This window comes from Homo sapiens, chromosome 3 (genome assembly GCF_000001405.40).
Source record: "Homo sapiens chromosome 3, GRCh38.p14 Primary Assembly".
NCBI classification, from domain to species: Eukaryota; Metazoa; Chordata; class Mammalia; order Primates; family Hominidae; genus Homo; species Homo sapiens.
In genome coordinates, this window is record NC_000003.12 from 129,825,984 (window position 1) to 129,843,797 (window position 17,814).

Sequence of the window (17,814 nt, forward strand, 5' to 3'; positions counted from 1 at the left end):
TCTCACTTTGCCCTCTTTCTCTTGAAGTTTTCCAATAAAATCTGCTTTACTTACACTTTTTCTTTTTAACATAAAAGTCTATAATCCCAGAATCACTAGCTGTAAATTCCTTAATGTTCTCTGGTAAAGGCTGAAGATTAAGACAAGGTACATAGCTGCACTGTCAATCTTTACTGCCAACTAGTTTGGGTAATCAGTGACCAAATATTCTTTTTATTTCAAAGATAACTAATATAGGCTGGACACGGTGGCTCATGCCTGTAACCTCAGCACTTTGGGAGGCTGAGGTGGATGGATCACTTGAACTCAGGAGTTTGAGACTGGCCTGGGCAACAAGGCAAAATCTCCTCTCTACAAAAAAAAAAAAAAAAAAATTGGCCAGACATGCTGGCATGCGCCTGTAGTACCAGCTACTCAGGAGGCTGAGGTGGGATGATCACCTGAGTCTGGGGAGGTTAAGGCTGCAGTGAGCCACGATCACACCACTGCACCCCAGCCTAGGTGACAGGGTAAGACCCTGTCTCCAAAAAAAATAAAATGAATATACACATAAATATGTGGTACTTTTCCCCATTTAAATTTTTTGAATTTTAATTCACATCATTATTTTGACAGGTTTAAAGTGATTTACTGTCCATTATCTATATGTTTTAAATATCATATTTAGGTAGGAAAGGTTTAAAGTTCTAGACTCAATATTTATATTTCCAGGTAACTTAATATCCAATAAAAAAAAAACCTTAGGAAAAGTTTAAGGTACTAGACTCAGTATTTATATTTCCAGGTAACTTAATATCCAATAAAAAAAAACCTAACTGTACCGCAAGCAGACACAGAATGAAAACGATCAAACAAAAACCTTAAGGAATACACAAAAGTAATGCTGAAAGATAGTTGAATGGTAACTTACAAGGCAGACCTAGCCCACAAATGTGTTCAGTGTGGCTTGCATATCTGTTAAAAATCAAGAGATTTCCCATCTAGATTTCCAGTTTCTCTTGAAAAAAATCAGAAGCTCTGGCAAGACTGTGCCCACAGTACTAAATTTCAACCATCAGCTAAAGCTAAGACATTGCCTCTGTTAAACAAAGCAGGAACTCCTCAGTTTGTCCAAGCTCCATAACACCTAAGTTCACTCATTGTCACTACCTGCATGGCTACGCGTACCTGAGTTTTCAAACCCTAGCAGGACTATTTCTTCTATGTGCCTCAACTAACCATAACTGAGAGTTATATGGAAAAAGTTTCTCCTAGATTTAATATGCCTGGTTTTGGGTAAACCCAAAACAATCTGTTTATTAATAGTACACTATAATAATGTATATGCTCTACTGTGGCATGCAAAATGTAAAATGAATGCTGCTGATGTACTACAAAGTATATGAAAATTATAACCAACTTAGTGTACTTCCATGGTAAGCACAAACTCAGATTCTAGAACTTTATTCACTACATTCATTAATGTAAGAAAGCCATCTCCATGTGCAAAATCAAAACAATAAGAAACAAAGCATCTTTATTGCTCTACCATAAAACTGACCCTCAAATATACAGAAAGAATACATGAAATATACTTAAGGTTTTAACGAAAGGATAAAATAAAATATAGCACTATGTTAGGAAGGAAATAGGAATATAATTCTAAGCATTCATTCATTAGCTATAATTATTATTTACCCATTTGAAAAGGGGAAAAATTCTTTTACCACAACTTTAAGGTATTTGCTGAGATATCTTTTTAGTTACCAAAGGAAAGTCTGGAGAGTCCTAGGTATGAAAAACAGTAAGTTAACAGAAAAACAAAATCTTACAAACTTACCCGCTCCGCAGTTCCCTCCTCTCCTGGTAGACATGCAGCAGCAGCAGCAGCAGCAGCACAAGCTATTTCCATCATAGCAGAGCTGGTAGGTGCATCAGTTGTGGATGAAGACCTGGGTCGGCCTGACTGCATAACAGCTGTCATCTCCTGACCAGACTTCCTGTTGATTTGGGGACTTCCCTTTGGGGCCTCTGGCTTGCCCCGCCTACTATGCAAGCTTGTCCCTCTCTTCATCTTGGGTGGCACTCGAATCTGCTGCAGGACACGATTCAGAGCTGTGGGGTGGGTGGGGACACCATCAATCTCAGCACATGCGTTCTGGCTTTCCAGATCCATTTCAGGTTCTGGATCTGCCTGAATTTGCTGCACATCATGTGGAGACACTGATGACCTCCTGCGCTGGTGCTGGAAGAGATGCTTCAAGCCTTGGCCAATCACGTTAATGTTCTCCAAAGCATTGTGGGTCATTTTAGACAATTTTTGTTCTGATTCTGTCTGCTTTCTGGCCTCTGCATCTTGGGATTTGCCTCCAGGATCAGGGTCCTCAAATAACTGTTCACTGCCCGAAGGCTCCATCAGTAGACTTAATATGCTTATTTGCAAACTCAAAAAAATTTTTTAAACACACCAAGAGTGTCAAATTAGGTAGGCATTTGCTTCAACAGTGACTACGCATGCAGCTGTGAGACGAAGGCTTCATGCCTATCTAATGTTAAAAACAAAAAAACAAAAAAACAAAAAAAAAACCTTATATTATAAATCCATGCAGAAACTCCAGTGTTAAAACAAAGAAAAACATGCTACTGGCCAAACAAATAGGCACTATCATTAAGCAATCTTTAATCAGAAGATTAAAAGACAGTTTTCTAGATAGTGGGTAATGATTATTTTTTAGAATGAGAGAAAAAGCCCAGAACAAGTCCATAGGAAATTAAAACAGCAATGTTCAAAAGCAAAAATCCCTACAAGATTCAATATATACAGAATTAGATATTAGAGGAGCCATCTTGGAATGGACACTATAATGGTAGTTGACAGAACAGCCATTGCTTGGGAAATCAAGAGAAGAGACCATCCAATAGGTTTACTCTAGCTGAGGCAATTTAATCCCTCTCATTCATAACCACAGTTAATTATTCACAGGCTGAAACTCAGTATAATCAAAGAACAACAGTGAGAAATGGATATCCCAATCTAACTATATGTGGATTTTAATGGAAAAGTGTGTTACCATTCATATTCATCAAGTTCACTGGTAACTAGAGATGACAGGTTTGCTCTTTTGAGAAGAGAATGGAAATAAAAATCCTGTAAGTTGAATTCTCTGCTGAAGCACAAATGACCTTTCTGGCACCATATGAGTGAATGGTTCAGACAGAATCAGAATCAGAGACTAGAGCTTTGCTCAGTACCAGCTATCAAGAAAGGAGATTCAAAGAAATCCCTTTCTCTATAGTGTCATCCCTGACAGAAGCTTCCCATATATCCATACAAACTCAAAAGCAAAGTAACTGGGTAGGATAGAAAAGTAGAGAAAAAGAAAGGTCAAACAGCAAACATATACCAGTATTAAATGCAAGAAATTAAAAGGAAGCTGAAACTAAGAGATGTAAAATCAACGCAACTGCCATGGTTACTAAAATCACATGCAAAAAAAAAAAAAAAAAAAAAGGGAGGGGGGGATGGGAGATGATGAGATTTTTCCTAATAGAAAGTGTTTATTTTTGTACTGTATTTGTGCAAATATATAAGACAAAATTATATACATGCACAGAAGCTGCTACAGAATGCAAAATATGATGTAGGAGGTTATTTCCATATTTTTCTTTAAATTTTTGTTTAAAGGACTTTAAAACTCCCTACACTACCAAGTACTTCAACAATTTAAGCCACTACCAATGAAGCACCATGGTGCTCCTGTTCTGGGAATATGTGGACTTGCTGCCACCAAGTGGCAATCTAGAAAGCCATAAATTAGCTGAATAAAAGAGTTCCCTGTGAACTCAAGGCTACTAGAGTTTAGTGGAACAGGAATGCAAACTCACTAAAGTTTTGTTCCTGATGACTACTCTCAGAAGACTTTTTTCAAATATTTTATGGGCACTGTCATTGTGGCTCCACTGTCCATATTCTTTCATGCCTGTGATTCCATTACCTAATCTCTTCATAACAGAGGAGCATAAACAGGGAGACAGGGATAAAGACATTTGTCTCTCTCTAGTACCTTCCTACTTTCTAAATGCCACAAAATTGTTTGTTCCTAAATTAGGCAAATGAATAACAACCATGAGAATGGAAGTTTCATTGCCTTTCACCCAAATTCTTTGTGGCTCCACTGAAATCTAGCCATCCCACTATGGCCTGTTACCCTTTTCCTGATTGTGCATTGGTTTTGTTCATATCTTTCCCTTTGGGAGAACCAAGAAAGAAACCCTTGCCCTTATTAGATCAATGACTGTCTTGGCCTCTGGTGTGGTTTTCTGGTGCTCCTTGTGGGCAAAAATTTTGCCAATAGTTTATATATTTAATTATCCCCTTCTAACCAAATATGAAATAAACACATAATACAATGTTACTCTGATTTTTAAAAAAAATAGTAATTATCTCACCATTCCTCATGAGTTTGTCTTGCTGGCTAATAGTTACTGAAAGAATTGAGTTTCTCAGAGGAAAAGGGCTAATGTAACCAAAATAATCCCCTATCAGTGTGTATCAACTCATCTCTTCTTGCACTGGGCTATTTAGATCCTGAGAAGATGGGAGGGTGTGAAAGCAGCAGAACAGTACTGAAAAAGTAGTTTACTTTTTCCTCTATTTGCACATTATTAGCTAATACAACTGATTTTTGTTGTTGTTGTTGGAAGTAAAATGTATAAAATATGTTTATCCCATGAGATTAAAAGACAGCAAGAATAAAGGAATGATGTCAAGGTTAGCTGAGGATCATTCTACTTGTCTCATATGCAAAGGTACTAGGAATTTATTACTCAGCAAATCTACTTATTTGGGCACTATTATAAACTAATCAACTGGTCATCTGGTTGCTGCCTATTTAAAAAATAGAGAATGTGGTACATTTTGAATATCAGTAAATTCATTTGAGATTTCACAAGCATTTGTAAAACAATTTATTTTTGTTTTTGTTTTTTTGAGACGGAGTCTTGCTCTTTCACCCAGGCTGGAGCGCAGTGGCACAATCTCAGCTCACTGCAGCCTCTGCCTCCTGGGTTCAGGCAATTCTCCTGCCTCAGCCTCCAGAGTAGCTAGGATTACAGGCACGTGCCACCATGCACAGCTAATTTTTGTATTTTTAGAGAGATACGGTTTCACCATGTTGGCCAGGCTGGTCTCAAATTCCTGACCTCAAGTGATCCAACCGCCTCAGCCTCCCAAAGTGCTGAGATTACAGGTGTGAGCCACTGCACCCGGCCAAATCATTTATTTTCAAATAATTCAAAATGATGATTGATTACAAGGAAATGTTAGCATTTCCTGGGAAAAGCTGGGAGTAAGGTGTTAATTTCCATGCCAAGACTATCTTCGCAGCTACGAAGAATAAGCAACAAAACAGTAATAAATTATCGGATTTTCAAAGGCAAAACTTACCTTAATCATACCAGCACATAGCCTCACTTAGCATGCAGCCCTAAAGAAACCTAAATTGAGCTTTAAACATCAAGTTTTAAGGTAATAATTTTGAAAAACAATCTACTGTACTGATTATAAAACGTAATATGGTACTTACACTTGTAGCTATCATCTGCATAATAGCAGCACTAAGAAACTAGTTAAGGTTTTGAAGGCTACTAAAATTTTCTGTAGGCCAATAGAAAATCTTTAAGGCCACCAAAGTCAAATGCTGTGGCAAAAATACCAACAATAGTGATGTTGCAATAATTAACTCTATAAAATTGCTGACAGTAAGAATGCAAGCACAAAAGAAATTCAATAGTCTCAAAGTTGTACAGGGACACCCTTCTTTTCTTCTGTATGTCTTACAGAGGCTCAAATGAATATGAACAACTGTTGCTCAGTTTATAAAATTCCCCAATTAACTATTTATTTATTTAGAGACAGGGTCTCCCCCTGCCACCCAGGCTGGAGTGCAGTGGCACAATCTCAGCTCACTGCAACCTCTGCCTTCTGGGTTCAAGCAATTCTCCTACCTCTGCCTCTCAAGTAGCTGGGATTACAGGCGCCCACCACCACAGCTGGCTAATTTTTGTATTTTTAGTAAAAACATGGGGTTTCGCCATGTTGACCAGGCTGGTCTCGAACTCCTGACCTCAAGTGATCCACCCTCCTCAGCCTCCCAAAGTGCTAGGATTATAGGCATGAGTCACCGCGCCCCACCCAACTAACTAATTTTAGATCCCTGGTTTAACACAAACGAGTTTAACTGCATAAGCCTATCAAATGCTTTTTGGTAAGAAGGAAATGCTGGCTACTCTTTTATTCACTCAGCTTCTCTGAAAAGTAAAGTTATTATAAGTAAACCAGAGGGAGAAAGAGAAAAAGGAGCAAAAGGACACAGGAAAAAGGGGAGAGGTCGAAGGAGTGAAAGGGGAGAGGTAGAAGGAGCAAAAGGTGAGGAAGGGGGACAAAAAACGCAGCCACCTACCAGTCAGGCATTTCAAATAATTTGGTAAGTTCTCAGAATTTTCAACAATTAACTTTTCTAGCACAATTTTACTGAAGACCTAATATGCCATTAGCTCACACTCAGAAAACAAGTTGTTCTAAATTAGTATCAGAAATAAGTGAAAAAATTATGTTTTTAAAATCTATCAACCATTTAGGAGGGTATTCCACAAAATCACAGCAAATTATATACAAATTGCTTTGTCTTTTTTTCCCTTAAGTTTTTCTTTCCAATTTTTTAGTTTTTTGATAAATATGGTGACCAAAGCTTTTTTGGTTTGGACATGAACCAAGTTAAATTTCACTGACTACAAAGAGTTGGATACTTGCCTTCATCACTCTTCCTTAAGCACTTCTAAGGTGTACAATCCTTTTAGGAAAAGCTGAAAAGCAAATATTAAGAATTACAAGGTGAGAAACTTAGATGGGGAAACTTACCTTTTACAGATATGCAGAAAACGACTGAAAGTATATCCAACAAAATGTTAATAGCCCTCATCTCTCACTGGTAGAAGTAGGGTTTGTTTTTTTCTAGTACTTTTCAGTATTTTCTAATTTTTTAAAGTATAATCAAGAATAATTATAATCAAGAAAGAAAGTATTCTGGAAAAAATATTAACTTAGCACTTGAAAAAGATAAAGTGGCAAATATTTTAAGAAGCAATAAATATTTTAACATTATCATACTGAATAAGGAATGGATATTCCATTAATTCTAATCTTAAAGTAACATGAAATATAAAACAGGTACATGAAAACACCACAATTTTATAAGTAAAATTTTTTTTCAAGTAGTTTCCTAATCTGTATCTGCCATTCTCTATTCAAAGGCAATTCTAAAAATCCTATCTTAGGCCAGGCATGATGGCTCATGCCTGTAATCCCAGCACTCCGAGGCAGGAAGATCATCTGAGCCCAGGAATTTGAGATCAGCCTGGGCAACAGTGACACCCCATCTCTAAAACAATTTTTAAAGATTAGCCAGGCATGGTAGTGCACACCTGTAGTCCCAGCTACTTGGGAGATTGAGGCAAGAGGATGTCTTGAGCCCCGGAGCTGGAGATTACAGCGAGCTATGGCTGCACCACTGCCCTCTAGCCTGGGAGCAAAAGCGAGACCCTGTCTCAATTTTAAAACAACAACAACAAGAAGAACAAAACATATCTTGGCAATGTGGAGTGACTCACACCTGTAATCCCAGCACTTTGGGAGGCCAAGGCAAGAAGGCTCATTTGAGGCCAAGAGTTCTAAGACCAGCTTGGGCAACACAGCAAGACCCCATGTCTCTACCAAAAAAAAATGTTTTTATTATTTCTATTTATTTTTTGGCTAATCTTCAGTATTCATTAAATTTTTTTAAATTACAAACCAGAGCCACCATGTACAACTGAGAATTGGAAGCACCAAAATTAAATTTTTCCTGGAAAACTTGCTTCTGATGGGTATTACCAGAGAAGCAATTTAATTAGACAAGTATTTTTGAGACATCTGCCATGTACCTAGCATTATACAGACCAAATAAAGCATATGACCCTGCCCTCGAGGAATTAATCTAGGACAGAAAATAAGATGTCCATACATGAAACATACAGAAAACAGCACAAAACTAAACAAGTGGTGAAGTGTGTAAGAAAGACTGCAATTACCATTAAAAGTCAGGAAGATCAGTTAGAATTGGATTTGTTTGGGAAAGCCTGATGAAAAAAGCAGCAGCTTTTACTGAGCTCTGAAGGATGAGACAATGGATAAATAAGCAGAAAGATGTGGGCCAATACCTTCGGCCAGCAGGCAGTAATCACAGTATGTTTGGGCATACTGTAAAGAGGTCAGATGGACCATACTGGTGGATACACATTTCTGAATAGGGGAAATAAGATTAAATGGGTAAGGCTGGGAAGTTAAAGAGGGCTTCAAATGTTAGGTAATTATTGAGTATTTATATTAAATTGCATTAAACTGCACTTAGGTGAACATTATCTCTAATCCTCACAACAACCCACAAGACAAGGGGGTTGTTGAAACCAACCAATTTACAGTTGAAAAACCTAAAGGCCAAAACAGGTCTACTGACTAAAATTTTGACTTGATATAACAGAAAATAAAGATCCACTATAGGATTTCCAGGATATAAGACATGTTTTAGGCCTAATGATCATGTAAGATGCATGAGAGGAGGGAAAGATGATAATCAGAGAAATTAGGTAAGGAACTTATAATTTAGAAAAAGATGACAAGGAAGAGCTGAGCCCATTAGTATGGCTGGGAATGGAATAAAAAAGTTAATGGAAAGGAATGAGCGCACAAAGTACTGAAGAGTCAACAGGAATTCCTCATACCATTGCGACAGATGCTAAAAAAGCATCTGATAAAATGAGTATTTATAGTTCTCAGCTGGAAACGTATTACGAGTACAATCATCCAATTCATCCTCCTGCATCTTATTTCAACAATTAAATGTCATCCATACTTCATTTAGCCCCAAAGAAATTGATTGCCTTTTAGCAAATCCTATGGGCTCCCTCTAGACGGTTGTGAGAGCTATTTCCTTGCATCCAGCCTTGGTAAGATGTCTCTTATTCCTTTAGACCTGCTTAAATATTTCTCTACTCTCTCACCACCCTGGCCGAAGATGTTACAACTATGAAATTTCAGTTTTCCTTTCTTTTGCACCTCATTTATGCCACAATAAAATGGAAACGTTTTAACTACCCAAGAAAGCTTCTCCCTCTTTCCTTTGATCCTCTTGAAATCCTTTTTCCTAAGGTCCTTAGTGAAGATCTTATTATGACCACTGTTTCCTATTCATGGCTGTGTTTTCATGCTGTGAATAAGTTTTTCTTTTCCAAACATAAAAAAAATTCAGTCACGGTTTCTCTCACTCTTTCATATATATATATATATATTTTAATGACAGGCTTTTCCCATCTGTTAGCATATGCTTAGTTTTTCCTAATTATCTAGCTGAACCAGCCCCACCTAGCAACCCATCACCAAGGAGACAGATACTCTGTTTTAGAATCCAGAAAGAGAGATATATCAAACAACATTTAATTATTAAAGCAATAATAACGTGTGATGAGGTTTCTATAAAGAACAAAAATACATAATCAAGAGCATATACTTGGGAGTCACAGGGTTCCAAGGTTCTTGTACTGTCCAAGAGTGTAAAAGCGGCAAGCAATCTGCAATATGTTTTTAAAAAGTGTATTTATTTAAAAAATCCAAAGTGCAGAACCATGTATATATCATGCTACTACTTTTAAAGGAGTGAGTACATACTGCATATGCACAGACTATTTCATTCTGGAATGGTGGACAGGTAACTGGTAACTAATGTTACTCCAGAGGGAAAACAAACACACTAAATAGAAAGGAGAAAGAATTAAAATACTCAAATCCAAAAAAGAAGAGAGAACAAGATTACAGAACAAATAAAACATATTTAAGCAGCAAAATATAAGATGTCAAACATAAATTCAAATAACTCAGTAATTACATTAAATGTAATTGGACCAGATGACAAAAATCAATTTTTAAAAAAAAATTAATCAAGAATCACACTTAAAATTACAGAAAATAGTTCAAAGTATGGGAAAAAGTCATACTAACAAACTGAAACACAGCTGCTCTAGCTGTATTAATTGTATTCAAAGTAGACTTCAATGCACAAAAGCCATTAATACCTATAAAGGTATAATTTATCAGGAAGATGCAACAATTTTAAATTTGTATGCATGTAATAACATAGCCTCCAAATATATAAAGCAAAACAGCAGAATTATAAAGAGAAGTGGGAGAAAAAATCCATAATCATAATAAATTTTGTATTCTTCTCAGTAGGTGATAGAACAAATGACTCAAATAAAGGGAGAGGGTAGAAATATAGATTTGAATAGCATGAACAAACTGGACCTAAATAAGACATTAATATGACACAGCATCCAATAATTGCAAAATATACTCTTTCAAGCAGAAAGAGATCATTTACAAAAATTGACCATATGTTGAACCCTAAGGCAAGTCTCACAAATTTTAAAAAAACTGAAATAATACACAGTATATTCTCTGACCACAATGTGGATTCCTGAGGTTCAAAAAGAGCTGGGAGGAAATCACTTTTTCCTTTTTTGTTTACTGCTATCCCAGCCTCCAGGCAATACAACATTTATGGAGCAACAGCTAAGGCTAGACAGGCACCTAAAAGCCTTGTCTCTGACCAAAGGAAACAGTCCCAAGAGCATGGAAGAATCCCAGTGCAGATAGGAAGATTAAACCAAAAATTCTGACAAACTGCTGAAGACTGAATGTAGGTTAGAATCAGAGTGTGAAGTCCTCGAGGGCTGCAATCATAGGAGAGTTCCCATCCTCTTGTGGGCTTTTCCTCCAGGAACCTCAAAAGGCTCTCTAATGCAGGGGGAAGCAGAGAGGAAGTAGAGAAAGCTCCTCCATCTCCACCCCCGTGGAGCTAATGAGGGAAGAGCAAGCAACAATACCAAACCAGCCTATTTCCCTTATCTCCCTGTGGAACAAAAGGCTTAATCAGCAAGGAGCAATTTCTGGTGGAATCCCACTACAGCTGGAGGAAGGAAAGGAAGCTGACACCCAATTTTCACCCTTATCCATCTTCACTGTTTCTCTAAAACAGCAATAGCCTTAAATGCAGGCGGAAAGAGCTGAAAAAAACCTTAGCTTGAGGATACTATTGAATCCCCATAGCAGTTGGGAAAAAGAAGGGAATAGTCTTCTGAAGGCCACACCCCCAAGACCCAGGTTCTACTATCTGCATAAATCTGAGGCTTAACCAGAACATCACAGAACTCCCCTCACCCTCCACTAACTGACAGGCTTTGAGTAAAAACAATGGAATACACCTGAGAAAGCTGCAAGACTCAGACTCTCACGGAGAAACAGCACAAAGGGAAAACCCAAAGCCAAGCAGGAAGACAAGAACAAGGTATTACTGGGAAAATTTGAAGCCTCTAGTTCCCATGGCAACAATAAATGTCAACTCCAGTAACCATTGCAATAATAAACATCAAACACAGCCCAATGCCTGAACAGATTAACACAAATCTCCACCCTAAAGGACTTGCAGGAAACTAGCAGTCTTCAGTAAGCATATCAAGCATATACCTCAGTATCTCCTGTCATATACAGCACATTCAGCTTTAAACAAAAATTATGAAGCATGGCAAAGGCAGTAATAAAAACACAGCTCAAAGGGACAAAGCAATTATCAGAGCCAGACCCACGTATGACATAAATTTTGGAACTACAAGACAGTAAATTAGAACGTGATTAATACAGTAAAAACTCTAATGAAAGAGGTAGACAACATATGAGATCAGACAGGTAATTTCAGAGATAAATGAAAATTATAAAAAATCAAGTGGAAACCAAATTAGAAATAAAGACATAGTAATGACAAATGCCTTTGAGAGGCTTATCAAGTAGACTTGAAACAGCTGAAAAAAGAATCAGTAAACTTGAAAATAGGCTAGTAGAAACTACCCAAACTGAAATATAAAGAGAAAAGAGATTTTCCCACCTGGAGAACATACAACAGCTGTGGCAGAAGTCCAGAAGAAGAGACAACAGAGAAGAAACATTTGAATGGCCAAGAACTTACCGAAATTAGTGATAAGACACTAAACTACAGAGTAACAATAAGAAACTCTGAAAACAGGCTGGGCATGGTGCCTCATGCCTATAATCCCAGCACTTTGGAAGGCTGAGGCGGGAGGATGGCTTGAGCCCAGGAGACCAGCCTGGGCAGCATAGGGAGACCTCATCCCTAAAAATAAACAAAAAAATCAGCCGGGAATGATGGCACATGCCTGTGGTCCCAGCTACTTGAGAAGCCTGGGCCCTGGGAGGACTGCTTGGGCCCTGGAGGTCGAGGCTGCAAAGAGCCGTGAGCGTCCCACTGCATTCCAGCCTGGATGACAGGGCAAGACCCTGTCTCAAAAAATAAAAGAAAAAGAAAAAAAGAAAAAGAAACTGAAAATGCCAAACAATACCAAAAAAGGGGGCTGGGCACGGTGGCTCATGCCTGTAATCCAACACTTTGGGAGGCCGAGACGGGCAGATCACAAGGTCAGGAGTTTGAGACCAGCCTGACCAACAGGGTGAAACCCCGTCTCTACTAAAAATACAAAAATTAGCCAGGTGTGGTGGTGCGTGCCTGTAATCCCAGCTACTCAGGAGGCTGAGGCAGGAGAATCACTTGAACCTGGGAGGTGGAGGTTGCAGTGAGCCGAGATCGCGCCAATGCACTCTAGCCTGGGTGACAGAGCAAGACTCTGTCTCAAAAAAAAAAAAAAAAAAAAAAAAAAAGGATATCTAGGCATATCATATTCAAACTGCTGAAAGCCAAAGGCTCTTGAAGGCAGTCAAAGAGGGGAAAATATGTTACATACAGAGGAATAAAGATATAAGATTATAATAAACTTACCATCAGAAACTTCGTAAGACAGTGGAGTGACAACTTTAAAGTGCTGAAAAGAAAACTGCCCATCCAGTATTCTACATCCAGTGAAAATATCCTTCATACGTACAAAATAAAGGCTTTCCTCCAGACAAGCAAAAATAGAGAATTCACTGCCAGGAGACCCATCCTATAAGAAATATTAACAGAAGTCCTTCAGGTAGAAAAATATATAAAAGTGAGAAGCTTGAATCTACAAAATGAAGAATAAATGAAGGTAAAGTATAATTTTTTTATTTTTCATTGCTCTAAAAGATAATTGCTTAAAGCAGTAACAATGTATTGGATAAGTACCCCACAGGTAAAAGTAAAACGCTTAACAACAATGGCAAAAGGGAAAAGAGGGAAGAACTGGGAACACACTATAACCATACTTTAACTAAATGCGAAGTGGCAAAACACCTGAAAAACTCAGGTTATTTTAAAATGTATAATGTAAACAAAAAAGCAACCACTAAAAACCTTTTTAAAGAAATCTAAGTGATAAGTCAATAAAGTAAAATGGAATTAAAAAAAAAATCACACCAAAGAAGGCAGTAGGAAAAAAACCACACAGGCGCATGCCTATAGTCCCAGCTACTCAGGAGGCTGAGGCAGCAGAATTATTTCAGTTCAGAAGTTTAAGACCAGCCTAGGCAACACGGCAAGACCTCTTCTCTACAAAAAAATAGAAAAATTAGCTAGGCATGGTGGCACACACCTATAGTCCCAGCTACTCAAGAGGTAGGAGGATCGCTTGAGCCCAAGAGTTTGAGACCAGCCTGGGCAACATAGTGAGACCCCATATCTACGAAAAATTTAAAAATTCACCAGGCATGGTGGTGTGCACCTGTAGTACCAGCTACTGGGGAGACCGAGGTGAGAGAATCACTTGAGCCCAGGAGGTCCAGGCTACAGTGAACCATAATTATGCCACTGTACTCCAGCCTGGGTGAGAGAGAGACCTTGTCTCAAAAAATAAAAAAAGAAACAAACAACAAATGCAACAAATAGAGAAGAGCTAGCAAGATGGTAGGTTTTCATCTAATTATACTAATAATCACTTTAAATGTAAATAGTCTTACCAGTTAAAAAACAGATTGTCAGACTGGGGGAGAAAAAAAAAAGCAAGACCAGGCCGGGTGTAATGGCTCACACCTGTAATCCCAGCACTTTGGGAGGCTGAGGCAGAAGGATCGCTTGAGCCCAGGAGCCCAAGACTACCCTGGGCAACATGGTGAAACCCTTTCTCTACAAAAATACAAAATATAGCTGGGCATGGTGGCATATGCCTGTAAGTCCAGCTACTTAGGACATTGAGGTGGGAGGATTGATTGAACCCAGGAGGTCAAGGCTGCAATGAGCCATGATCATGCTACTGTACTCCAACCAGGGTGACAGAGTGAGAACCTGTCTCAAAAAAAAAAAAAAAAAAGCAAGATCAAGCTATATTCGGTCCACAAGAAGCCTGCTAAGCAAAGATTTAAAGAGGAAAAAAATAAAACAATGGAGAAAAATATACCATACAAACACTAATTAATCAAAAGAAAGCTACTGTAGCCAAATGAATTGCAGACAAAGTAGATTTCAGAACAAGAAAGATTGTCAAGGATAAAGAGGAGTGATCTGGTTTGGCTCTGTGTCCCTACCCAAATCTCATCTTGAATTGTAATCCACACATGTCAAGGGAGGGACTTGGTGGGAGGCGACTGGATCACGGGGGTGGTTTCCCCCTGTTCTTGTGATAATGAGTTCTCATGAAATCTGATTGTTTAAAAGTATGTGACAGTTCCCCACCCCACTCCTGCTGCCATGTAAGACATGCCTTTCTTCCCCTTCACCTTCTGCGATGATTTTAAGTTTCCTGAGGCCTTCCCAGCCATGTGGGGCTGAGAGTCAAATTAAACCTCTTTTCTTTATAAACTACCCAGTCTCAGGTAGTTTTTTATAGCAGTGTGAAAATGGACTAACCCAGAAAATTGGTACCAGGAATGGGGTACTACTATAGATACCAGAAAATGTGGAGTGACTTTGGAACTGGGTAACAGACAGAGGCTGGAAAAGTTTGGAGGGCTCAGAAGAAGGCAGGAAGATGTGGGAAAGTTTGGAACTTCCTAGAGACTTGTTAGAAGATTTTTACCAAAGTGCTGATTGTGATATGGACAATGAATCCAGGCTGAAGTGGCCCAAGATGGAGATGAGAAACTTATTGTGAACTGGAGCAAAGGTCACTCTTGCTATGCCTTAGCAAACAGACTGGTGGCATTTTGTCCCTGCCCTAGAGATCTGCGGAACTTTGAACTTGAAAGACATGATTTAGAGTATCTGGCAGGAGAAATTTCTAAGCAGCAAAGCATTCAAGATGTGACCTGGCTTTTTCTGAAAGCGTACTGTCAGCCGGGGACAGTGGCTCATGCCTGTAATCCCGGCACTTTGGGAGGCCAAGGCAGGTGGATCACCTGACGTCAGAAGTTCGAGACCAATCTGGCCAATATGGTGAAACTCCGTTTCCACTAAAAATACAAAAATTAGCTGGGCATGGTGGCATACACCTGTAGTCCCAGCTTGGGAGGCTGAGGCAGGAGAATCACTTGAACTGGGAGGCAGAGGTTGCAGTGAGCCAAGATCGTGTCATTGCACTCCAGCCTGGGCAACAGAGTGAGACTCCCTCTCAAAATAATAATAATAATAATGAAAATGTTCATTGTATGTCATATGTGTTCACAAAGAGATAGTCTGAAATTGGAACTTATGTTTAAAAGGGAAGCAGAGCATAAAAGTTTGGAAAATTTGCAGCCTTACCATGTAGTAGAAAAGAAAAACCCATTTTCTGGGGGAGAAATTCAAGCTGCTGTTCTTGTGATAGTGAGTTCTCACAAGATCTGATGGTTTTACAGTGTGTGGCAGTTCTGCCCCCACTCCTGCCACCATGTAAGACGTGACTTACTTTCCCTTCTGCCATGATTATAAGTTTCCTGAGGCCTCCCCAGCCATGCGGCACTGTGAGTCAATTAAACCTCTTTTCTTTATAGATTACCCAGTCTCAGGTAGTTCTTTATAGCATTGTGAAAACAAACTAATACAAGGGGTATTATAATAGGGTCAGTTCCTAAGAAGACATAACAATTCTAAATGTGTATGTACCTTAAAACAAAGCTTCAAAATACATGAGGCAAAACTGATAGGTATGACAGAAAATAAAGACAAATTACAATTATAGTAGACTTTTATTAACAGTTAACCCTTAGTAATTGATAAACCAAGTAAGCAGATTGGCCAGGCATAGTGGCTCACCGTGGTAATCTCAGCACTTTAGGAGGCTGGGGTGGGCAGATCACTTGAGGCTAGGAGTTCAAGACCAGCCTGGCCTACATGGCAAAACCCTGTTTCTACCAAAACTACCAAAATTAGCTGGGCTTGGTGACATGCACCTGTAGTCCCAGCTACTCAGGAGACTGAGGCACGGGAATCACTGCAACTTGGGAGGTAGAAGTTGCAGTGAGCAGAGATCGTGCCACTGTATTCCAGCCTGGGTGATACAGCGAGACTTTGTCTAAAAAAAAACAAAACACACACACACACACACACACACACACGTAAGCAGATAGATGTGACCTCAACAGTTCAGTACTATCACCTAATTTGACCTGAGTGACATTTGTAGGGCACTCCACTGAACAACAGCTGAATATACATTCTTTTCAAGTACACATAGGACATTCACAAAGATATACCATATTCTGTGCCATAAAAGAAATCTTCAAGATAAATAAAAATACAAAGTACATTCTCAGACCATAATAGAATAAAACTAAAATCAATAACAAAATATATTAGGAAAGTGCCTCCAAATATGTGGATATTAAACAATACACTTCTAAATAACCCATGATTAAAAGATGAAGTCATAAGGAAATTTTAAAAATATTTGCAAGTATAGCAGGAAACAGAAGGGAAGTTTATCTACCTTAAAAAATACTTGCAAAGTAAACAAAAATACAACATTATCAAAATTTATGAAATGCAGCTAAAACAGTACTTAGAGGAAAATGTATAGTCTTAATTATATCTTATAAAAGAAGACCTAAAACCAACAACCTAGGCTTCTACCTTGGCACAGTAAAAAAAGAACAAATTATAACTAAAACAGAAGGAGGCCAGGTGTGGTGGCTCACGCCTATAATCCCAGCACTTTGGGAGGCTGAGGTGGGCAGATCACGAGGTCAGGAGATCGAGACCATCCCAGCTAACACAGTGAAACCCCATTTGTACTGAAAATACAAAAAAATTAGCCGGGCGTGGTGGCAGGTGCCTGTAGTCCCAGCTACTCAGGAGGCTGAGGCAGGAGAATGCCATGAACCTGGGAGGCGGAGCTTGCAGTGAGCCGAGATCGCACCACTGCACTCCAGCCTAGGAGACACAGCAAGACACCGTCTCAAAAAAAAAAGAAGGAAAAAATAATAAAAATTAGAGCAGAAATCAACAAAACTGACAAAAGAAACACAATGTAGAAAAACCAATGAAAGCAAAAGCTGGTTCTTTGAAAAGATTGATAAAATTGATAAACTTATAGCCAGGCTATCCAAGAAATAAACAAAGACATAAATTACCAATATCAGGAATGAAGGAGAAAGGACATCAATACTGATCCAATAGATGTTAAAAAAGAATAATAAAAGATATTACGAACACCTCTATGACCCTAAATTTGATAGCTTAGATAAAATAAACCAATTCCTTGAAATATGACATGAACTACAAAAAATATAGAAGGAAAAACAGATACCTAAATAACTCTATTGAAGAAAGTGAATTTGTAGTTTGAAACTTCCCAAAAAAGAAAACTCCAGACCCAGATGGTTTTAATGGTTAATTCGACCAACCATTT

The 17,814-nt window shown here is 38.6% G+C and overlaps 1 protein-coding gene across 12 annotated transcripts in view, besides 1 other annotated feature; it reads right to left on the reverse strand.

Annotated features, from left to right (window-relative positions):
• The window catches only part of TMCC1 (transmembrane and coiled-coil domain family 1), a 245,920-nt gene that overhangs the window by 178,192 nt on the left and 49,914 nt on the right, over positions 1 to 17,814 (reverse strand). For 3 of the 12 annotated variants that reach the window (NM_001349268.2, NM_001017395.5, NM_001349264.2), the window contains 2 exons: positions 6,791 to 6,843; positions 1,820 to 2,525 (listed from right to left, as the gene is read on the reverse strand). The exons of 1 other annotated variant lie outside the window; for it this stretch is intronic. In NM_001349268.2, the coding sequence (NP_001336197.1) occupies positions 1,820 to 2,395 (576 nt within the window). In that variant the 5' untranslated portion in view covers positions 2,396 to 2,525; positions 6,791 to 6,843. Of the gene's footprint in view, positions 1 to 1,819; positions 2,526 to 6,790; positions 6,844 to 12,914; positions 13,078 to 17,814 lie in introns of all 12 variants that reach the window. 8 more of the 12 variants (NM_001128224.3, NM_001349270.2, NM_001349275.2 and 5 more) reach the window with 6 other exon arrangements.
• Positions 6,055 to 6,209: a silencer, noted in NCBI's record as "fragment chr3:129550881-129551035 (GRCh37/hg19 assembly coordinates)". NCBI's record gives its function as "represses an EF-1alpha promoter that drives an FKBP-Casp9 reporter gene in an ReSE screen in phorbol 12-myristate 13-acetate-treated (for megakaryocytic differentiation) K562 erythroleukemia cells {active_cell/tissue: K562(+PMA)}" and the evidence as "EXISTENCE:reporter gene assay evidence [ECO:0000049][PMID:32094911]".